The sequence below is a fragment of the Homo sapiens genome, chromosome 5 (genome assembly GCF_000001405.40).
Source record: "Homo sapiens chromosome 5, GRCh38.p14 Primary Assembly".
NCBI lineage: Eukaryota > Metazoa > Chordata > Mammalia > Primates > Hominidae > Homo > Homo sapiens.
Window position 1 is genome coordinate 65,748,068 of NC_000005.10, and position 24,780 is coordinate 65,772,847.

Consider the following 24,780-nt stretch of genomic DNA (forward strand, 5'->3'; position numbering starts at 1 on the left):
GCACACGCCTGTAATCCCAGCTACTTGGGAGGCTGAGGCAGGAGAATTGCTTGAATCTGGGAGGCAGAGGTTTCAGTGAGCCAAGATCGTGCCACTGCACTCCAGCCTGGGCAACAGAGCAAGAGTCTGTCTCAAAAACAAAAACAAAGTACAGCAGTCATCCAGGTCGAAGGGTTGAGCTGTGGGAGAAGTCTGTTAGAGTGAGAAAATAGAGGGATTAAAGGACTGGAGTTCTAAGGGAGATGGAAAACTAAGAATCATGGGAGTAGATAAATGGAAGCTGAAAACATAGAAGGTTGTGATTACAGTGGAATAGCTGACTTTATCATTTCTGAGGAGCATCTCCAAGTGGTGGTAAGAAGAATAAATACAAAGGTTCTTGGAGTGAAATAGGTTAAGGAAGTGATGTTGGCTGGGCACAGTGGCTCATGCCTGTAATCCCAGCACTTTGGGAGGCCAAGGTGGGAGAATTGTTGAGCCCAGGAATTTGAGACCAGCCTGGGCAACATAGGGAAACCCCATCTCTACAGGAATTAAATTAGCCAGGCATGATGGTGCATGCCTATAGTCCCAGCTATTAGGGAAATGGGAGGATCAAGTGCTTAAGCCCAGGAAGTTGAGGCTGCAATGAGTTATAATCACACCACTGTACTCCAGCCTGGGCAACAGAACGAGACCCTGTCCCAAAAAGAAAAGAGAGAAAAAAGAAACTGAAGTTAAGGGAGTGGTAAGCCTTGTCCACCCATCCTTAGAGTCTCCCTGGGATGATTATGGAACTTTAGACAGGGACTGATATGGTTTGGCTGTGTCCCTACCCAAATCTCATCTTGAATTATAGCTCCCATAATCCTCATGTGTCATGGGAGGAACCCAATGGGAGGTCATTGAATCTGGGGGCAGATTTTTCCTGTGCTTTTCTCGTGATAGTGAATAAGTCTCACGAGATCTGATGGTTTCATAAAGGGCAGCTCCCTGCACATGCTCTCTTGCCTGCTGCCATGTAAGATGTGACTTTGCTCCTCCTTCTCCTTCTGCTATGATTGTGAGGCCTCCCAGCCATGTGGAACTGTGAGTCCGTTATACCTCTTTTTCCTTATAAATTATCCAGTCTTGGGTATTTCTTCATAGCAGTGTGAAAATAGACTAATACAGGGACTGTAGAGCTAATTCTTTGGTGAATATGAGAAAATGGCAAAGAGTTTAGTTGATGACAGCAACAAAGAGAGTTAGTAAGGGATGTAGCAGGAAGCCAGTAGCCTCAGAGGATTAGAATTGTAGTGCAGTAATGATTTGGACAGCCCTTTGAGGATCAAGGAGAGGTTTACCCTGTGTCAAGGCCTCCTAGTGTGAGGAGCCTGAGAGAATGTCAGTGCACTTCATGGGAGAGGCAGTGCATTCACCAGGAATCCAGGTTACAGTGAAGACAAAGTGGAAAAGCCAGTGCCCTGTGACAGGGTTGAGGATGTAGGGTAGGGGGTTGAGTGTCCAAGAAAGAGACTGGCATGATGGGAGAGCTTCACCAACTGGTGATGCTGAACTTTTGGAACAGTGGCAGAATGTATGCTGTGAAAGGACACAGAGCAGAGAGAAAACAGTAAGTTCACAAATATTTGCTGTGTTGAAGGTCTCGTACTAGAAACCTTTAGGTAAACTTTTGTGACTTCTATCTTAGTAAGCTCAGTCAGTGAATAAGATTAATTCTCACTTGTAAAATAATAAGGACATGAAATTTAAACAGTCTTGTGGAAAAACCATTTTTATATTCTAATCATATTATCAATACCCTTGGCCCTGCTCCCTATGGAAAGAACTGAAAGTCTTTTCTGCCACACTGTGCTCTTGAAAGTAGTGCTTACTCCTTATTTCTGCATGTTGTGAGGATTAGATGAGTGTTTTAACACTCCTGCACACATGAGCTACTCGGTAAATGAGTTCTCCCTTCCTCTGTTTCTCTGTCCTTTCTTCCTTCCAGAGAAGACACCTAGGAACCTAGTTTGCGAGTGGAAAGGAGAAAGGGTACCCAAGGAAGGGCACAGGCAGGGCTGCTTGGCATACATGTGCTGTCATGTGGAATCTCAGGAATGGGATCATCCAGTCAGTGCTGTCCGTTCGAACTTTCTGCAGTGGCGAAAACATTCTCTATCTGTGCTGTCTAGTGTGGTACCCACTTACTACAAGTGGCTATTGAATATTTGAAATGTGCCTGGTACAACTGAGAAACTGAATTTTTTATTTTATTTACTCATAATTCATTTAAATAACCACATGTACCTGCTGTGTTGGACTGCACAGGTCTAGTGGATAATGTGCTGCTTGGCTGAAGGCTTCAAGAAAGAAATGGACTGAGTACCTGAGGAAATAGATAAGTTGGCCTGGCACGATGGCCCATGCCTGTAATCTCAGCACTTTGGGAGGCCAAAGCGGGTGGATTGCTTGAGCCCAGGAATTGCTCATTATGGGCAACATAGCAAGACTCCATCTCTACTAAAAATTTTTAAATTAGCTGGGTGTGCTGGCACATGCCTGTAATCCCAGCTACTTGGGAGGCTGAAGCAGGAGGATTGCTTGAGTCCAGGAGGTCTAGTTTACAGTGAGCTATGACTGTACCACTGCACTCCAGCCTGGGCAACAGAGTGAGACTTTGTCTTTTTAAAAAGTAAAGAGAAAGAGAGAGAGAGAAAAATAAAGAAAAAAAGAGAAATAAGGAAAGAAGAAAGAAAAGAAGGAAGGAGAAAGAAAAAGAGAAACAGGTAAACCTCAGTGAGGTGTGTAGCTGGGATTTGGCATTGTAGAAATCAGAAATAAAGGAGTCCTATATGGTCTGATGAAAGGACCCTGGACTTGAGCTATGGCCTGAGAAGTTGTGAGGAGAGGGGTGATTTAGTCAAAACAATGGCTAGAAAGACAACTTTGTAAATGGTAGAAATCAGGATTAGAGTGTTTCTGATGTAATAGCCACACAAGAGAAATAATTAAACTTATACAGGAATTCCGGTCTTGTGGGGAGATTGATTTAATGCAGACCTCAAGAGCAGCTTGTAGAGAAACATTAATTGCAAAGCAAATACTAGGAATATTTGCCAAGTGTTTCAAAGAATTGGGACAAATTTCTGGAAATATCCTGCAAACCATGTAGTACAACACAGTGACATGGTGACAGGGAAAGGGATGGAAAAAATGTAAATTGGTAGGAGGTAGAAGTTGTAAAATTTTACATAATATAGTTTCACTATAGCCCTGGCTCTAATAAAACGTGTTTCCCTGTATGAATGTTTACTTGTGATGATGAGGGAAGATGGTGTTGCTTTAATGTTTTTGTCATATTTGTCCCATCTTGTTTCAAGTATATAATGAACATCTGTCTGCTCATCAGTGTGCAGTGCATTGGGGTGGGGGTTTGTGATGAAAGAAATGTACAGTGGCCATTGTGCTTGAGAAGTCCTAGTTTCATTTAGAATATAAAACAAACTAATTGAATAGGTGATGACAGTAATTTAAATGTCTAAAATGAATGGCACAGATGAAAGGTGAACTGGAATGGTGAAAGCCTTGATGAGAGGAAGTAGAGGACTTTAAACTATGCTTCAAAAGAAAATGAACCCCATAAATCAACATTTCTGAAAGTACATTCCATAAAATATTTTACAAAAGTCTCAAGGCAATAATTAACTCAGAATAACTATGGCATACTTATTTGTCCAAATGAAATTCTGTAACCTGATGATTTCTGTCAAAATTTATCCAGCTTTCTTCCTTTGCCTAAACACTATTATTATGATGATGATGATATTATTTTGGACACAGGAGATTACAATGCTAGCAAATGCACCTTCCTGTCAATTCCCGTATGGTATTCTGTATTATTTCTTGGTTAGAAATTTCACAGTGTTGGCCTGGTGCAGTGGCGTATGCTTGTCATCCCAACACTTTGGGAAGCTGAAGTGGAAGGATCACTTGAGCTTAGGAGTTCAAGACCATCCTGGGCAACATGGGAAAACCACATCTCTACAAAAAGTACAAAAAATTAGCCAGGTGTCATGCACACCTATAGTCCCAGCTACTTGGAAGGTTCAGGTAAGAGGATCACCTGAGCTGGAAGGTTGAGGCTACAGTGAGCCATGATCACGCCACCTGGACTGTAGCCTGGCTGAGAGAGTGAGACCCTGTTTCAAAAAAAAAAAAATTCACAAAGGTCATGTTTTGAAAAGTGCTTTGAAAACAGAGGAGACGATGAAGAAGGTATGATTGAGACAGAAATAATAAAGAGCCTGGAATTTTGTAGTAGGAAAAAGAAATCTAGTGTTTAATTAGACAACTGGAATCTCAGATTTGATCTACTTTTTCATTTTCAAATTATTAGACGTAATAACTGCTGTAGGAAAAGACAGGCTCATGCCGTTTGTCTGCTTTTGACTTATGTAGCTCTCACTTGCAAAAAGTCAGAGAAAAATCTTCACCAGGTTCTCAAGAATACAAGTGCAGCTGCTGGAATGACTACAGGTGCACTGGTTTTCCCACCCAGGTGCAGTTCTTTCCAGGGCTGCAGAGGCACGGAAGGGGAAGACGAGATCAATGTACCAGCATCCAAAGCATTGGGTGAGCTTGAAAATGTAACAAAGGGGAAGAGGAGGGATGCTCCGCAAAATGAAGATGGGAGAGGAAAAGCAGAGATAATGCAGAAAGAAAGTACTCAGTAGATCAAAATGTTTTAGTTAGAAGTATAAGGCATTCCGCTGTCACCATTCCTTTTCTTTGGTAACAAGAACTGTGAATCCTGAAAAGAATTAAGGTAAAATCTCAGAAGGTGAGAAAAAAAGTATTAAGATAAAAATTTTAATGTATTTAGTTGACCCATGACATCATGATTTCTAGCTTTTGTTTCTGTCTTTTTAGCCCTTCCAGGTTCAGGGAATAGTATTACATTAAGGGAGAAATAGCTTTTCACTAGTTGCCTTGGAAACTATAAAACATATATGTGTCCGGCCGAGGTGGAGGTATTGACATCCTTATCAGTTTAACTTTCCCACTACAAATAAATGACAAGTGTCTGAGGTGATAGTTATGCTAATTAACCTGGTTTGATAATTACACAATGTATACATGTATTGAAACATCGCACTGTATCCTATAAAGATGTGCAATTATTGTGTCAATTAAAAACAAAATAAGACTTAACAAACAATCAGATATGCTGTGACCACTCAGCCTTCCAGTAAATGTTAGGAAATAGATGAAAACCAACGAAGGTCATCTTATCAGTGAAATGCTTGAAGTAATTTTCTTTTAAAGCTGAATAATAGGCTGGGCACGGTGGCTCATGCCTGTAATCTCAACACATTGGAAGGCCAAGGTGGGCGGATCACTTCCGGTTAGTAGTTTGAGACCAGCCTGGCCAACATGGTGAAACCCCATCTCTAATAAAAATACAGAAAACTAGTCAGGCATGGTGGCACAAGCTTGTAATCCCAGCTCCTCGGAAGGCTGAGGCACGAGAATCGCTTTAACCTGGGAGGCGGAGGTTGCAGTGAGCTGAGATTGTGCCACTATACTCCAACCTAGGGGATAGAGTGAGACTCTATCTCCAAAAAAAAAAAAAAACCTGAATATTAATGATACTAATGGAAATTTGTCTATAGTCATTGGTTTATACTAAGAGGAGTGGTGAAAAGAACAGGGTGTTAAGATGGATATGTCCTATGTTTTAGTCGTTGTTCTTCTCTTTCATATTCATGTAACTCAGTCATCTCAGGGCCAGCCTTTTTACCTATACTGGGACTTCCTTGAAGTACAGCCCGTCATGGCCATGACTGACTCTTTCTTAGTGGCCTCTGTTGGCAGAAATAATTATTTTGGAAATTTTCAGCCAACTGTATAAATCCTGAACTGAACATCTTTATTATTTTGCACCAACACCAAGTATGTGAGACCCTCTACTCATCTGCCATTTCTTGTACTCTGACCTCCATACTGTTGGTTTCTCCCTATACTTATTCCTTTATCAGTTTTCATTCCTTTATCAGTAGGATCCTATATGAGGCAAATAATATAAAACCCCATTCTAACTGATTTCATCATAGAGGGGACTTACTGACTCATAACTGGAATGGTCAGGCTTTACAATTAGTTGATCTATGGGCTCTATGGTGTCTTTAAATATTTGGTTTCCTTCCTTTATTCTGCCATTCAAAGTGTCTGTTTTATCGTAAATCAGATTCTGCTCATTCTCATAGGATGGCTGCCAGCTGCAATCAAGGACATAAGTGTACTCACACTTAGTGGGAATGAGACCCCCTTCTCTCACAGCATTCCAAGCAAGAGTACTGAGGGTAGGGACAGCTACCTTCAAAGAACGTGAACTATGTTGGGGGTGTATGAGTGTTGAGAGGAAGATGTGCATATAATTAGATAGGGGAAGAGGTTAATGGCTAGACAACCATGTATATCTAACCATCTACTGCACTGACTTCTCCATTGTTATTTCTGGAACCCTTGTCCTATGGTAAATAAACTCCTCCACTTTTTCATACTATTCCCTGAATCTTCCCTTCTCTTCCTGACCTTTTCTAAAATCCACTGAACCCTGACAAAAATGTTTCCCATGCATCCCTCTTCCTCCCACACCCCATACCACAAAGTAAGGAGGAAAGATCAGTATCTTCTTTTCCCCCAGAGGCCCCCTCCAACCACTGTGATGTCCTGCACTTCTTCACCATTGTGTAAAAACACCTTTGAGGCTCATCATCTGGTTTTCCCATTTTATATCCTGCTCATGTTGTCTCTCCCAGTCAGCTGAGAGTTCCTTCTTCAGATACTCGGGTTCCTGGTTCAGTCTTCCTTTCTACTCCCGGGATCCACCATCAACCTGCTGACTCCAGTGTTCATGTAGGCAATTTATCCAAACTAGACTCTTGTTTCTTCACACTCTTGCAAAGAAACTGCTTAACCCTTGAAGTCTTAAATTCAGATATCTCACATTTTTACTATAACCTGACTACTCCCATTTTACTGTTTTATTGATTTTACTAAGACTGTAGTTTTTCTGTCTAAAACATTGCTCATGTTTTATATTCCATTTCTTCCTATCTCTGTAGGGAGCTCAGTCTCTCTAAATATCTTAATAATGTAATTGAAAAAAAGTGGTTTCAAGTAGAATCATAACTATGATAAATTTCTTACATATTTTGTGGAAATTTAAAACATATTTATACCCAAAACTTTTGATCTAAAACCAAGGCCTTTTGCTAACTGTAAATGATTTGATTGGCATTTCTCACTATCCTTCTTGTATAAACTACACCTATAATGCATCATCTTTGATTTCCAGTTTCAGCTTCTCGAAAGTGGAACATGCGTATAAGGAAACATATAAGTAGTATGAATTCAGAAGCCTTCTGAATTGTCACAATTCCTTTCCCAATCTTTCATAAGGACAAGTTTTTTGTGGGAGTTGATTTTTCTGTAACTCTCTTTTTAAAAGTATTTCTGAAACCTTTTACCTATCCCAGAAATAAGTTTTTAAATGTTGTATACATTTAATCAGTCAAATATTTAAATTACATGAAAATAAGCATAACAGGCATAAACAGGTTTTGGAACAACAGGCTTAACCATTAGTTAGCATATAACTCAACTGGTGGAAGAAGAAATGTGAAAATGTATTAGAAAATAGCCTGGCAGCCTGGAGTTGTAAGCATCAACTAGTATGTGGACATGAGTTCTTGTGGAGAGTAAGTTGAAGAGGTCAGTATTTAGGTCTCTCCTGTGTGAAAAATGTATCTATTCTGTGCCTCAGCCTCTTTTAGCTACACTGCGTTAGCTCTCCTTATTTCCACGGCCAGATCCACAGAGAATTGCCTAGGTTCACACTCTCTCCAGTTCTTCACCTCTTCCTTATTCCTCCATCATAGTAGTCTGACCTGTACCCCTGCTGCTCCCCTGACACTGGTTTTGCCAGAGTCATGAATGGCATTCTGCTGCTGTATTCAACAAAGACTTTTCAGTATTTCTCAACATCTGTACGTTTGCTGTTGTTTTCACTGCTTGCTTGTCACAAGGTCCTAGAACCCATATTGGCCTAATATTCCTTCTCCCTCAGTGATCATATTAGAGTTAGGGCCCCAATGCTTTTCTCTTCTCACTCTGCAAACTCCCTTGAGTACTCCTATAAGTAAAATTACCACTTAATATTAATTCCTCTTACATGTTCTGTAGCCACTTCAAACTTGGCATGTCCAAAATCAAGTTTCTCTTTTTTCCCCCAAAAAGCCTCCTTTCCCTTGACTCTCTTGACTCTCTCACCTCCACCGCCTCCATCCATTCAGTACCAAATCCTTTTGAGTCAAACTCCTGAATATATTTTAAATCATTCCGATTCCTCCTATTTCCTAGTTTTATATACTTTAATCATGAGCCCCAATAGCTCTAAGAACAACTTCTCTCTTGAATGATCTCTTTTACAAACCTTTCAACTCATTATAATTTGAGTGATTTCTCTAAAACACAAATCTGTTATCTGTCACCTGATTAAAACCTTTCTATGGCTCTCGAATTGCCTTCAGAATAAGATTGGATGTTTGGGGGAGTTTTTTGTTGTTGTCGTTGTTGTTTTAATGTTTCGTAGAGACAATGTTTCACTATTTTGCCCAGGCTGGTCTCGAACCCTGGACCTTAAGCAATCTGCCTGCCTCACCCTCTCAAAATGTTGGGATTATAGGCATGAGCCACGGTGCCTGGCCAAGGTTGGATGTTCTGATGATTCCCAAGGCTCTTCATTTGCTAAATGACCTTACTTACCTTTTCAGCCTTCTCTCCCCTTATGGCATTACCTTTGGATAATTCCTACACATTGTTCAAATGTTGGTTTGCTAGTTGCTCTTTCTAGAAAATCTTTCTTGACACATTCCCCCTGCCCCAAGACCAGAATGGGGTTCCCTTCGTTTGGAGTTCTCTTTGCTTACACTTGTCATAACACTCATCTCAGTGTAGTATAATTGCATATTTATCCATTTGTCCTTTCTACTGTATTAGAATGTCAGGGTCTAAGACAATTTGCCATTTATCCACATTGCCTGTCACGTAACTAGATACAGTACATGCTCATAAATATTAGCTGGGTGAATGACTTTAAACAAGTCACTTAGTCTTTCTGAGGCTTCAATTGCTTTATTAGAAGAGAATACAGTAATGCCCTACCTACCTTATAAGGTTGTTTTGGGATCCTGTAAGATAATAGAAATGAAGCTTAGCATAGTGGTTAAGAGTATGGGTTCTGGATCCATACTGCCTAGCTTTTAATCCTACCTGTGACCCTACAACTAGCTGCGTGGCTTTAGGCAAGTTACTTAACTTCTCTGTGTTTTAGTTTTCTCTTCAGTAAAATGAGACTAACCACAGTATATAACTTAGAGGGTTGTTGGAGGACTGAGTGAGTTACTACATGGGAAGTATTTTGAACCATGCCTGAACAGACAATAAATGTTAGCTACTAAATATAACATTTTTATTTGTAAGCCCTAAAATTATATGTACTTATATATATGTATATGTATGCATATGTATATAGACAGAGAGAGAAACATGGCATCAGTATTACTAGTTTGAATGTTTTAAGGGAGTAAAGACTGGTATCATTATTCTAAACAATTTCTTTTTTCTTTTTTTCTTTTAGGATAATGGCATAGCTATCCCAGAGTTTATTTTCCAAGTCTTAAATTCAAATTGTCATTCTTAATTTACATGAAATTTTGGTTAAAAAAAATTGGTGTTCAGTATAAGAAGAGAAGTTTTTAAATGTTTCCTCGCTAAACTTGCAAGGTTTTTTCGAGTCTATGTACATAGTAGGTGAAAGTTAGCATTGGAAAAATATTAAAATAAAAAAGATACTGGCCGGGTGCAGTGGCTCACACCTGTAATCCCAGTACTTTGTGAGGCCAAGGCAGGAGGATTGCTTGAGCTCAGGAGTTCAAGACCAGCCTGGGCAATATGGGGAGACCTCATCTCTACAAATAATTTTTAAAAATTAGCTCGGCATGGTGGTATGTCCCCTGTAGTTTCAGCTACTTGGGAGGTTGGGGTGGGAGAAACACTTGAGTCCATGAGGTCAAGGCTGCAATGAGCTATGATCACATCACTGCACTCCAGCGTGGGCAACAGAATGAGACCCTGTCTTAAAAAAAGAGGGAGGGAAGATTACTGATTTAATTTATAAAGGAGAATTATTATAGCTCCAACACCTGACTTTATTTATCTATATGATTTAATTACACAAACAATTCAGTGTTTGAATTATACAAATTTCATTAAAACTATGTAATTATGCAAGAAAAATAGGAAATACAGGGGCACTTAGTTTTGTGCATATGTGTTCACCTGAGAGTATTTGCTTGTTTTTTTAAAAAGGTTCTTTTTAATTTAATATTTAATTTTATAATGCACATTCATATGTTGACTTTGGACCAACAGAAATCCCTAATTCTTATTCTTTTTCTGATTCTTTTTAGAGTTGGTGGTTCCAGGATTTTACTCAGAATGACGTTAGGAAGAGAAGTGATGTCTCCTCTTCAGGCAATGTCTTCCTATACTGTGGCTGGCAGAAATGTTTTAAGATGGGATCTTTCACCAGAGCAAATTAAAACAAGAACTGAGGAGCTCATTGTGCAGACCAAACAGGTGTACGATGCTGTTGGAATGCTCGGTATTGAGGAAGTAACTTACGAGAACTGTCTGCAGGCACTGGCAGATGTAGAAGTAAAGTATATAGGTGGGTCAGATGCAGAAGCATATCAGTGTTTCACTTTGTGGACATCTTAAATCATTTCATGCTTTCTGTCTTTCAGTTTTCCAGTTTTACAAGCATTGATTTTTACATTATAATTAATTGCTTAGAATTATCTAAGATTTTAAAATTGTTTATGTTGACAAAGGTGCTATAAAATGTACACTCTGATTACACTGCTCTCTGGAGAGCATTTTGACAATGTGTCAGAACTTTTAAGACATTCATACCCTTGCTCATTAATTCCACACCTAGACATTTATTCTAAGAAAATAATCATATATATGGAAAATTCATGTATCAATTTATGTATAAATAGGTATTCTTGTTATATCATAGGCTTAGAAACAATTCCCAAATGTCAACTAATAGATTAGATAAATAAATTATGAAACATCCATCCTCTGTAATGCTGTATAACCATTAAAATCATGGATTACAAGCAGTATTTAATGACATGGGGAAAAGGACACAGAAGAACTGGAAGAAAATAAATTTTATCAATGGTTTTGTTAGGATTCTCTAGAGAAATTGAACCTATAGGGTGTGTGTGTGTGTCTGTGTGTGTGTGTGTGTAAGTATATATATATATATAAACATATGTATGTGTGGGGAGAGAGAGATTGATTGATAGATTGATTATAGGGAATTGGCTTACATGACTAAGGAGTCTGGAAAGTCCAGAATCTCAGTGGGGGCTGGTAGGCTTGAGACCCAAGAGAGCTGATGTTCCAGCTCCAGTCCGAAGGCCAGTAGCCTAGAGGCCCAGAAGAACCAGTAGTGCAGAAGTCTGGAGACTGCAGGAGGATTCTCCCTTGTTCAGGGAGTCTTTTAGGCCCTAAACTGTTTGGATTTTGGCTACCACATTATAGAGGGCAGTCTGCTTTACTTCAGGCTCATCACTCTAACGTTAATATCATCAAAAACACCCTCCAAGTTAACACATAAGATTAATCATCAGAATGTTTAATATATCAGGTGATGGGTTTATAGCTAATTTTTACTTTCCTCTTTATGTATTTCTCTATTTTCTGTATTTTCTGCCCTTACATACATTATTTTTATAACATATTAGACCCTTCAAGTTATAAGGAGTGAAGATTCCCTTTGGTTACCTCTAAGGGTTGGACATACTTTGTAGAATAATTATGACAGACAACTTTGGCTGTGTATCCAGGCTTCATACAAGAATATAAGATAGCTGCAGAACTGGATATTGTAAACATTCGTGGGCATTTTGGAATTTGAAAGATCATCAGAATCCAGCATAGCCCTAGTGACCTGGTCATCTCCTTGCCCCCACTATCCCTTCATCACCAAGAGTTCTCTACTCTATGTTTCACTGTAAAAAGGACTTGGCTATTTTCTCTTATCTCAGTGTTTGTTGGCTATTTTCTCTTATCTCAGCATTTGTTTCAGTTTCTGCTCCTACTACCAACTGCTTCACTTTCATTAATGGCTTCTCAATCTTATTACACGTCTTGAATTTAAACTCGTGAATAAAAAGATCTGGTTGTCTTCATTAGTCAAAGTCAAAGGGATAGAGTTAGTCCCTATTCAGTAGAGCTTTTCTAGCTGGCAACTTCATGTGCGTGTACCATCCTGGATGTGGTTTGTCCTTGGTTCAGGTGCTCACTTCTTCAGTCACTTGTGGCCAAGATGGTATACCAACCCATAACTTAGGCATTTGAGACAAAGTCTCACTCTGTCACCCAGGCTGGAGTGCTATGGCACAATCCTAGCTCACTGCAGCCTCGAACTCTTGGGTTCAAGAGATCCTTCTGCCTCAGCTTCCTGAGTAGCTGGGACTGCAGGCATGTGCCACCATGCCCAGCTAATTTTTACATTTTGTGTGGAGATGGGATCTCACTATGTTGCCCAGGCTGGTCTCATGTATGTTGCCCACTCCTTGTCTCAAGTGAACCTTCTGTCTTGGCCTCCCAAAGCACTGGGCTTACAGATGTGAGCCACCATGGCTGGCTCAAACAAAATCTTTATAAAATAATTACTTTAAATTGTTTTTCTCTCAATAGTAGATCTTTTCAGCATACTTTCAAGTTTGTGATGTTTGTTCTTGCTCCTCTATAAATTTATTTTTGTGGGTTAATTATCAAAATTTTTGAGTTTAGGAATAGATTTCTTAAAAACTAACTTTCTCTTATCTGGGCATATTCTCTGAGTCCATTATGCCTCTCACAGTAGCTGTTGAAACCTTGTTTGTCTAGTGTCAGGCACTGGGCGTCAGCATTGTCTATGGTTTGGCAGTGAGAGCATAAATCTGGTTCCAGGTCTTTGTGGCAAAGTAAGGAAGGAAATGGCTTTCAGCACCTTTGTTTGTTTAAGAATGTTTCTAATTTTAGGCTCCTGCATTTGATGTTGCTTATATAAGTTTATGAGCAATTTTTATTCCTTCTTAATATATTTCATAGCTAATTTATTTTATTTTTTTATTATTATTATTATTTTTTGAGATGGAGTTTCACTCTTGTTGCCCAGGTTGGAGTGCAGTCATGTAATCTTGGCTCACTGCAACCTCCGCCTCCCGGGTTCAATCAATTCTCCTGCCTCAGCCTCCTGAGTGGCTGGGATTACAGGCATGCACCACCGTGCTCAGCTAATTTTGTACTTTTAGTAGAGACAGGATTTCACCATGTTGGCCAGGCTGGTCTCAAACTCCTGACCTCAGATGATCCACCTGCCTCAGCCTCCCAGAATGCTGGGATTATGAGCTTGAGCCACCGTTTTATAGCTAATTTTTAAAAGTAAACATATTGCAACCATATAGTTAACTAGTATCACTTAAATAAGTGCTGTATTAAATTTCAAAATTTTCTATTCCATTCTTTCCTTAACCGACAGACATAAAATTATTATTAAATCCTAAAAGCATAATTTCATAATTTGATATTTCAAAAATATACCTTATGGATTTATTCTGATATTTGTGGCAGGTATTTCTAATAGCTTTATTTGTAACAATGTTTTAGGAGGACTGATACGAGTGTTTAACTGTATAATTTCTTGCTGTATAAAGGATAGCTCTACTGTCTACTATATATCATATGGAAATTTTACTGTTTATAATACCTTCACAATACTGAAGTTAATCAAATAAAAATTTACTTATTTTCACAGCATAACACAACCATCACTATAAACCATACTTATTTTTGTTCTATAGTATTGGTTATTTCACTGACATCAGAGATTTTTACCCAATTAAAGTTAAAATACAAATTGATGAAAAACCCAGGAACCACCTTTAATATGTGAAGATTAAACCAAACTAAATTATCATTATTATTTAATGGACTGTCTCCAATGTCTGGCTACTTGTTGGATGTGTCCACTTAGATTTCTGGGGATCCTTTGAAGTTATCTGGAATTTTGAATGTTTTTATGTATGTGTGCATTTGGGGTAGGGTCCGTTGCTTTGATTAGATTTTCTATGGAGTCTTTATCTTTTTATGTACCCTTTTCCCATCCCAGATCCTAAGAAGCCTCAGTATAGGAACTGTGTCTTTCTCTTCCTGCATTGCCAGTTGATAAATTACACCCTCAGGCTAGATGCAGTGATTCATGCCTGTAATCCTAATACTTTAGGAGGCTGAGGTGGGAGGATGACTTTAGCCCAGGAGTTTGAGACCAGCCTGGGAAATATGGCAAAACTGCAGCTCTACAAAAAAATATAAAAATTAGCTGAGTGTGGTGGTGCATGCCTGTGGTCCCAGATACTCAGTGGTGTTGGGGAAGAGGGGTGCTGAGGCAGGAGGATTGCTTGAGCCTGGGAGGTTGAGGCTGTAGTGAGCTGTGATTGCACCACTGCACTCCAGCCTGGGCGACAAAGCAAGACCCTGTCTCAAAAAAAAAAAAAATTGTACCCCAGTATACTTTGATAAGTGCTCAGCTCACATCTTTACCGTTCATAATGATGCCAGCTGGAACAGCCAAATCCTATATTAGATGCTTTTTCTTGGTAGCCTTAGGAGGCTTTACAGAAAGTATAAAATAAAACAAACTTTTATTGGCATGATCATTCATCTGGGTATGAGGTATTTGGCTTAATACTGATTTGACAAGTCCTGTTGTGTGGTGATAGTTTTTTTCTCCATCTGCAGTGGAAAGGACCATGCTAGACTTTCCCCAGCATGTATCCTCTGACAAAGAAGTACGAGCAGCAAGTACAGAAGCAGACAAAAGACTTTCTCGTTTTGATATTGAGATGAGCATGAGAGGAGATATATTTGAGAGAATTGTTCATTTACAGGTAAGTGGTGTTATAAATCCCTTTAAAGAGGGAAAAACTCTACAACAAAAAAGAACATTCAGTCATAAATAAAACATACTGACTGGATTTTCTTAGCTTTTGTTTCGAATGATTATAAAACCATAATGGGCATTATATAGTATTACATAATGTTAATTATATCGTTGAGGTTATGTTGAGCTGCTAATTCCATTCACTTAAAGACCAAATGTAGAAGAGTGAACATCTGTAAAGTTAAGGCTTTTTAATAACATTATGAACTTGATGGTTACATGTAAGGGTTATCTTAGACCAAATCAATTAGAAGCAAATGGAATCAAGTTGTTTATCTGTAAATATCTCGTGGTTTTGGAACCATAATATTGATGACATACTGTTGATGCTGTATGCCGGAGTCATTCCTGTCTGTCATCCTTACATTTTTCAAGACTTGGGGAAATTATGGATAATAAATGTTCTAGGTGGGTCTGTCCAGGTGTTTTTGATCTTTTTACCAATGTTGATTTGCCTCCTAGCAGCTTTCAATTTTTATTTTCATGACACTTCAGCAATTTTTTTGGGGAAAAAAAACAGTTTCAAAATTCCAGGCTTTTTTTTTGTTTAATTTTGCATGTTTCTTTCTGCAGAATCCTAATTACTTTTTCCTTTTTAGCAGACCGTGACAAGAGTTGGAATATTTAATATTTTAAATTAAATAGCATTTTAATTTGTAACTCATTATACAATGTGTCATCAAGATTTAGACATGTAAAATGTATATCCTATTTTCTCATATCAGACAAGCATTTTTCATCCTATAATTGATAATCATATAATTCATAATAATTCACATTTGGTCTATAAACTTCATGGTGAAAGTAAGTTATGAAAATAACTTTATGATTATTCTTCATTAGCTAAATTGTTCTTCTTGCTCCTTTTGACCACAGTTATTTGATGTGATTTGAATCATGGTCTTTATAGTCTCCTCATTTTATTTCATCCCCAAATTACATTTCTTTGTTGTTCTATTTTTTTTATGTAATTTGGAATTTTTCCTAGAATTTCCAGTTTCCTTTGATTAATCCTATTTTCATCATGATTTCTAAGTTCTTATTTGGAATAATGTTTTTGTTTTTATTTCACATTCTGTGATTCTTATGAATGTTATCAAGATATGAAAGGTTTGTCACTTTACATTTCTTTGTCATAGAGTACTTTTAAATTTTGTGTATTTGAGACCAGCCTGGCCAACATGGTGAAACTCCATTTCTACTAAAAATACAAAAATTAGCCAGGCATGGTGGCAAGCACCTGTATTCCCAGCTACTCAGGAGGCTGAGGCAGGAGAATCACTTGAACCCAGGAGGCAGAGGTTGCAGTGAGCTGAGATCATGCCACTGCACTCCAGCCTGGGCAACAGAGTGAGGCTCCTTCTCAAAAATTAAAATAAAATAAATTTTCTATAGTTTTGGGATTGATCCCACTAAACTTGGGAACAAATTGCTGACTCTAGAGTAGACTGGCACACTATAGTGACCTGATAGACACCAATGCGTTCATCAGATTTGTGTCTTTATTTGAGCTGGTTCATTTCGGGCCTTTATTTTAACAATTTAAGGTAATTTCAGATTTGGTTCTGTAATTCTGGTTTCTATAATTTTTATTGTGTGAACATTTTTTAGGGGCTTCTACAACATTTGCTAACTCTACATCAGGATAATAAAAAATAACTATTGTGTTTGTTTTTGCATTGAAGGTCATTAGGTGAATTTACCTACCTTTAAACATCTTCCATGACAAATGGTTATGTTTATTTAGGCAATTTTTTTAAAAACCTAGAATTACCAGTATTAGTTCTCTGCTGGAGTTGGACACTTTAATAAATGGTAAAACTTATCCCATTCGTACCTAAAGGGCAAAATCAGATATCCAAATATTTTATTTATTTTCTCTGTGATACTGTAAGTTAAATAGGATAGCCATGATATAGCATATAAAGCCTTCATTAATGGCTGGGCATGGTGGCTCACGCCTGTAATCCCAGCACTTTGTGAGGCTGAGGCAGGCAGATCACTTGAGCTCGGGAGTTCAAGACCAGCTTGGGCAATATGGCAAAAACCCATCTCTACAAAAATAAAAAATAGTGGCCAGGTGCGGTGGCTCACGCCTGTAATCCCAGCACTTTGGGAGGCCAAGGCGGGTGGATCACGGGAGGTCAGAAGTTCAAGACCAGCCTGGTCAACATGGTGAAACCCTGTCTCTACTAAATATACAAAAATTAGCCAGGTGTGGTGGCAGGCGCCTGTAATCCCAGCTACTCAGGAGGCTGAGGCATGAGAATTGCTTGAACCCGGGAGGTGGAGGTTGCAGTGAGTCTAGACTGTGCCATTGGGCTCCAGCCTGGGCAACAAGAGCAAAACTTCATCTCAAAAAAATAAAAAATAAATTAATTAATTAAAAATAGAAAAATTAGCTGAGCATGGTGGTAAGTGCCTGTAGTCCCAGCTACTCGGGAGGCTGAGGTGGGAGGATTGCTTGTGCCCAGGAGGTTGAGACTGCACTGAGCAGTGGTTGTGCCACTGTACTCCAGCCTGAGTCACAGAGTGAGACCATGTCTCAGAAAGAAAAAAAAAAAAATCCACACATAAAGGCCTCATTAAGCTGGATAAATAGGATCTTAAATTTATATGATGTCAGCAATTTCAGGCCTGCTCTACTAAAATTAGGATGCTCTGAATAATATTCCCAAGACACCAATAATATATGTAATAATCAAATATATTATCCCAATTGGATATAAAATGTTATTTTAGCTCTTTTTATTTTCCACTTAAAATTAATACATAGAAAAGTGAAATTACTTTTCATAATTCTTCATGCAATATGGGCTCCAGTTATCTATTGATGCATAACATATTACCCCAAACCTTAGTGGCCTGAAATAGCAACCGTCATTTTCTTTTCTCTCACAGTTTCTATGGATCAAGAATTCAGAAAGGAATTAGTTGGACAGTTCTGACTTGGGGTCTGACATGTGGTTTCAGGCAGTGGTGGCTTGGGTTGAAGCAGGTAGGAACTAATCAGGCATCTGTCTTTATTCATGTAGTCTCAAGGTGTCTGTATTTGTCCATTTTCACACTGCTATAAAGAGTACCTGAGACTGGGTAATTTATAAAGAAAGAGGTTTAATTGACTCACAGTTCCACATGGCTGGGAGGCCTTAGGAACTTACAGTCATGGCATAAGGTAAAGGGGAAGCAAGGCATGTCTTACATGATGTCAGGAGAGAGAGCACAGGGGAAGCACCAGACACTTATCAAACAATCAGATCTTGTAAGAACTCACTCACCATCACGAGAACAGCATGGGGGAAACCACCCCATGATCCATTCACTTCCCACCAGCTCCCTCCCTTGACATGCGGAAATTACAATTTGGATTACAATTTGACATGAGATTTGGGTAGGGACACAGCCAAACTTTCATCACACCCCCAGCCCCTCACAAATCTCATGTCCTTTTCACATTTCAAAACCAATCATGCCTCCCCAACAGTCCCCCATAGTCTTAATTCATTCCAGCATTAACTCAAAAGTCCAAGTCCAAAGTTTCCTCTGAGACAAGGCAAGTCTCTTCTGCCTATGAGTCTGTAAAATCAAAGACAAGTTAGTTACTTCTAAGACACAGTGTGGGTACAGGCGTTGGGTAAATGTTCACATTCCAAATGGGAGAAATTGGCCAAAACAAAGGGGCCACAGGCCCTATGCAAGTCCAAAACCTGGCCAGGCAGTCATTAAATCTTAAAACTCCAAAATCTCCTTTGACTCCATGTCTCACATCCAGGGCGCACTGATCCAAGGGGTGGGCCCCCATGGCCTTGGGTGGCTCTGCCTCTGTGGTTCTCAGGTTACAACCCCTGTAGCTGCTTTCACAGGCTGATGTTGCCTGCAGCTTTTTCAGGTGCAGGGTGCAAGCTGTCATGTGGATCTACCATTCTGGAGTCTGGAGGGCAGTAGCCCCCTTCTCACAACTCCACTAGGCAGTGCCCTAGTGGGGACTCTGTTTGGGGGCTCCTGTGCCACATTTCCCTTCCCCACTGCCCTAACAGAGGTTCTCTGTGAGGTCTCTGCCCCCGCAGCAGACTTCTGCCTGGATATCCAGGCATTTCCATACATCCTCTGAAATCTAGGAGGTTCACAAAGCTCAGTTTTTGTCTTCTGCACACCTACAGGCCCAATACCATGTGGAAACCACCAAGGCTTGGGGCTTGCGTCCTGTGAAGCAATGGCCTGAGCTGTACCTTGGCCCCTTTTAGCCCAGCTGGAGCTGGAGCAACTGGGATGCAGGGCACTATGTCCTGAGGCTGCAGAGAGCAGGGGAAGGAGGGGGGAGCACAAAACCATTTTTTTTCTCCTAGGCCTCCAGGCCTGTGATGGGAGGGGCTGTTGTGAAGACCTCTGACATGCCCTGGGGACATTTTCCCCATTGTCTTGGGCACTAACATTTGGCTCTTGTTACTTATGCAAATTTCTACAGCTGGCTTGAACTTCTCCCCAGAAAATGGGTTTTTCTTTTCTACCCCATGGTCAGGCTGCAAATTTTTCAAATGTTTATGCTCTGTCTTTCCTTTAAACATAAGTCCCGATTTCAAACCATCTCTTTGTGTACACACATGGCTGTATGCTGTTAGGAGCACCCAGGCCACCTCTTGAATACTTTGCTTAGAAATTTCTTCTGCCAGATACCCTAAATCATCTCTCTCAAGTTCAAAGTTCCACAGATCTCTAGGGCAGGTGCAAAGTGCCCAGTATCTTTGGTAAAGCATAGCATGGGTGACCTTTACTCCAGTTTCCAATAAGTTCCTCATCTTCATCTGAGACCACCTCAGCCTGGACTTCATTGTCCATATCATTATCAGCATTTTTGGTCACAACCATTCAGTAAATCTAGGAAGTTCCAAACTTTCCCACATCTTTCTCTCTTCTTCTGAGCCCTCCAAACTGTTCCAACCTCTGCCCTTGACCCAGTTTCAAAGTCGCTTCTACATTTTCAGTTTGTCTTTATAGCAGTACCCTACTATCCTAGTACCAATTCTCTGTATCAGTCCATTCTCACACTGCTATAAAGAATACCTGAGACTAGGTAATTTATAAAGAAAGAGGTTTAATTGACTCACAATTCCTCTGGGTGGGAGGCCTTAGGAACTTACAATCATGGCAGAAGGAAGCAAGGTACATCTTACATGGTGGCAGGAGAGAGAGTGAACTTAGGGGAAGCATTAGACACTTATAAAACAACCAGATCTTGTGAGAACTCACTCACCATCATGAGAACAGCATGGGGGAAACTGACCACATGATCCAATCACCTCCTACCATGTCCCTCCCTCAATACGTGGGGATTAAAATTCAGATTACAATTCAAGATGAGATTTGGTTGGGCCACAGCCAAATAATATCAGTGTCTTAGTTAGACTGGGCTGCCATAACAAAATACCATAGACTGAATCCTTTAAATGACAGAAATTAACTTTTTCACAGTTGTAGAGGCTGCAAGTCCGAGATCAGTGTGCCAGCATGGTTGGGTTCTGGTGAGAGCCCTCTTCCTGGCTTGCAAATGGCCCCTTCCCTTCCCTGCTGGCCTTTCCTCAGTGTGTGCACATGGCACGGGTTGGGAGGTGGGGTACAGGAAGGCGAGGGGAGAGAGACAGGGAGAACTCTCCTTCTCTTCCTAAAAGGCCACAATCCTGTCAGATTAAGAACTGCCCTTCTGACCTCATTTAACCTTAATTACCTGCCAAAAGCCTATTTACAAATACAGCCACATTGGGGATAGGGCTTCTACAAAAGAACTTGAAAGGGCACAGTTCAGTCCATAGCGCAGAGCGTCTCCATGTGGTTCATTTGTGTGGGTTAATTTGGGCTTCCTTACAGTGTGGTGGTATCAGGATGGTAGGACTTCTTTCATGAGACTCAGTGCTCCAACATGAGTGTTCCGGCAAGGCACATAGAAGCTACTTTGCACTTATGTGCTGTCACGGAAGTCACATGACATCACTTCTGCCATACCATATGGGTTGACAAGTCACCGCATTCTGCCCAGATTCAAGGAACACCACATCTCAGTCTGGGGAGTATCATTTAATTGGCAGTCATGTTTCAAAACCTTCAAAATAGGGGAGGAGGTGGGGATGGTTAATGGGAACCAAAAGGAAAAACAATAGAATGAATAAGACCTGCTACTTGATAGCACAACAGGGTGACTGTAGTCAATAATGACTTAATTGTACATTTGGAAATAACAAAGTATAACTGGATTGTTTGTAACACAAAAGATAAGTGCTTGAGGGAAGGGATACCCCATTCTCTGTAATGTGATTATTACATATTGCTTGCCTGTCTCAAAACATTTCATGTGCCCCATAAATGTATACACCTACCATATACCCACAAAAAATTTTTTTAAAACCTTCAAAACAAATAATTTGTTGATTAAATGGATGGAAGAAATTACAGTAGAGGATAAGACTAACCGGTGTGTTGTGGTCCTCTCCCTCCCAGTGTATGACTACTAAGACTGCCTTACATTTGTGTAGCAATATGACTCATATAACCTTGATTCCAATCTTATGAGATAGGCTTTTTTATAATATAAGTGGAGAAACTGAAGCTCAGAAACAATAACTTTCCAAGAGCCACATCACTGGTGGGTAAGTGCTTGCCAGAAACCATGTAGACTGTTTGTTAAACCCTTCAAGGGAGGGAGGTATCATGTTTGATTCTATTTTGCACCTCTGGCAGAGTGCCTGATAAAAAGCAAGCATTCAGTAAATGTTCATCAAACTAAAGTGAGAAACCAGTTAGTGGCAGATCCAGAAAATAGGCCTTCGGTAATTGCTGGGACATAAGTTACCCATTTGGAAAAATAAAATAAAATTGAATGTCTTCCTGACAACCAACTGAAAAGCAATTCCTGATGGATTAAAGTCATAAAAGACTAGAGCTTAAAGCTTCTAGATGTCTGTACAGGAAGATATCTTTATGATATCTGGGCAGGGATATATTTATTAAGACGCAGAAACTGCTAACTATGAAATATAAGGCTAATAAACTTGACTATGTTAATATAACTTCTATTCATAAGGAAAAGTGAAAAGAGTTCAAATACTGAGAAAATAACTTTACAAAACATGAAACCAGTGATGCATTCTAGGATATATAAAGAACTACTACAATCAATAACAAAGAAACATCCCAGTAGAAAAATGGGCAAATGATATGTAGAAATATTTCAACAGAAACGCACATAGCAATCAAATGTATGAAAAGATGTTCAATTTTATTAGTAATCAGAGAAATGCAAATGAAGACCATAATAAGTTACCATTCTTCACTCACAAGATTGGCAAAGATTAAGAAAACCAACAATGCCAAGTTATCTTTGTGGATATGGATCAACAAGAATGTTTGTGCACTGCTTCTAAGAGTATAACTGATTCATCACCAAGTTGGAGAAAAACTTAGTATTAGAAAGTTGGAGCTTACATTCTCCACAACCTAGCACATCCTCCCACTCCCACCTCAGTATTTACCTAGAGATACCTTTGCATTTGTGCAAGGTAATATTGAACAAGTGTTCATAGCAACTCAGATTCCCATCAGCAAGAAAATGGATCTATAAATTGTGGCACATTTATGCAATGGAATATTTTATAGCATTAAAATAAATAAGTATAACAACATGGAACAATATAGTTGAATCTTAGTAAAAGTGAAGGAAAGAAACTGCAGAATACTGCATACAATATGATACTTTATAAAGCTCGAAAAGAAGCAAAACTATACAATATATAAGTGGTAAAACTGGAAAAAATGTTTGTCACAAAATTCAAGAGAGTAGTTATTTTTTGCACAGGTTACCTGTTGCATAAGTAAATGCAACGGTATTATTAATGTCCTATTTTATAAGTTGAAGGGTGGATTTAATTTGTCCTCACTACATATATATAGTTATATCCATTTGCAGATATCAGGTTACACATAAAAATTTAACATATATTAAATGTATCCTTAATTCCACTAAGAAAAAAAAAGAGAAAAAGCAGTGAAAACAAGGACTTCCTCATCCTTTTAAGCTAAAAAAATGGCCAAGTGTCAGAAGCCAGCAATTATGGCTGCAGGTATTAGTATTTCCCAATTCTGACAAGGGCTTCTCAATTGTTGGCTTTTAAAAAGCCAACAAACATCCAAGAAGATTTCATACCTGCTCTTTCCAGCCATTTTGGCGAGAAAAATGTACAGTGTCTTCATGTCAAAACAATCAGGCATATTCTATTCCAGTGGCCTGCTAAGGAATAAATGCACAAGAGGAATTCTTTCATGAAATAGAGGCTGAATTATGCAAGCTAAATTTGAGAAGTACAGTGATCTATTGTAATATTGTTTATTTATTTTTTTTAGAGCGGCAGGCTTTGATCTTGCCAATTCATCTTAGCCAATTAGTGATTTAAATAGGAAAGCTTTAATGTTACAGTGCAGATGAATAGGTCATGAGATTAAGTATATGATTTTAAACATTATGTAATCTCTCCTACTTGACCAGCCATGGAGACCCAGCTCCAAATTAAAATACAAGAACCAGAACCGACCGGGTATAGTGGCTCATGCCTGAAATCCCAGCACTTTGGGAGGCCAAGGTGAGCGGATGGCCTAAGCCCAGAAGTTCCAAACCAGCCTGGGCAACATGGCAAAACCCCGTCTCTACCAAAAATACAGAAATTAGCCAGTCTCATAACCCAGTCTCAAAATAAATAAATGAAGAGATAAAAATTTTAAAATTAAGTTTAAAAAGAACCACTACCTTAAAACAATGACAAAAAAAAAAAAAAGATATCCCAAATTCATTTACAATTTCATTCCTTTTATTTTCCATGTCTTCTTGATTTTTGAAATATGTAAGTGTAGTCATTGGTCATAATCAATACTACTAAACTTACAATTTTTTTGGGGTCTTAAAAGCCTAGGGATCCAGATATAAAGCATCAATTACCTTGGCTTAGTTTCCCCATTGGCTAGGCATCCTTCTTTTGTGCCCCTCTTTTTTCCAAGTACTTACCTATTTTTTAACATGATGTGTGATATTGATGTTATCTATTAATATGTCTTTCTTTTCCTTCATGTGACTTAAAGCTCTTCAAGAATATTCCTTTTTGTTTCCTTAGTGCCAGGAATAATTAGGAGCTCAGTAAATGTAAATGTGTGTTGAACTGAACTAGCCCCAATGAAAATGTATCTTCATGCAGTGTGATGCCTCACTTCAGCAACCTTACGCTGTGGCTCACACAGAAGCAGTGAATCTTGCGATGGCATATTGAATTAGTAGTCAGCAAGCAGTGCTGGCTGTATCCCCCTAGCCCAGGAGTGCAGACAACTACCTAAGAATGTCCTCTTCACCATGTAGTAAGATAGCAACTTTATAGTAAATGTCATGGACTGGGGCAGGGGCAAGAGGGAGCAGAAGAACTAAATTACAAATATAATACAATTAGTTATTTCTCTATTTTAGTTTAATTTTTTTGGTTTGGGTTTTTGTTTTTTTGGTTTTGGGGTTTTTGTTTTGTTTTTTGTTTGTTTGTTTGTTTTTCATTTTTTTTTTTTTAGAAACAGGGTCTGGCTCTGTCACCCAGGCTGGACCGTAGTGACGTGATCTCAGCTGACTTCAACCTCTGCCTCCCAGGCTCAAGTGATTCTCCCACCTC

At 39.2% G+C, this 24,780-nt stretch overlaps 1 protein-coding gene across 5 annotated transcripts in view; it reads left to right on the forward strand.

Annotated features, from left to right (window-relative positions):
- Positions 1–24,780, forward strand: part of NLN (neurolysin) — a 107,079-nt gene that overhangs the window by 25,863 nt on the left and 56,436 nt on the right. For 4 of the 5 annotated variants that reach the window (NM_020726.5, XM_005248559.4, XM_047417445.1 and 1 more), the window contains exons 2-3: positions 10,500–10,759; positions 14,893–15,041. In NM_020726.5, the coding sequence (NP_065777.1) occupies positions 10,500–10,759; positions 14,893–15,041 (409 nt within the window). Of the gene's footprint in view, positions 1–4,527; positions 4,597–10,499; positions 10,760–14,892; positions 15,042–24,780 lie in introns of those variants that run through there. The other variant, XM_047417443.1, reaches the window with a different exon arrangement.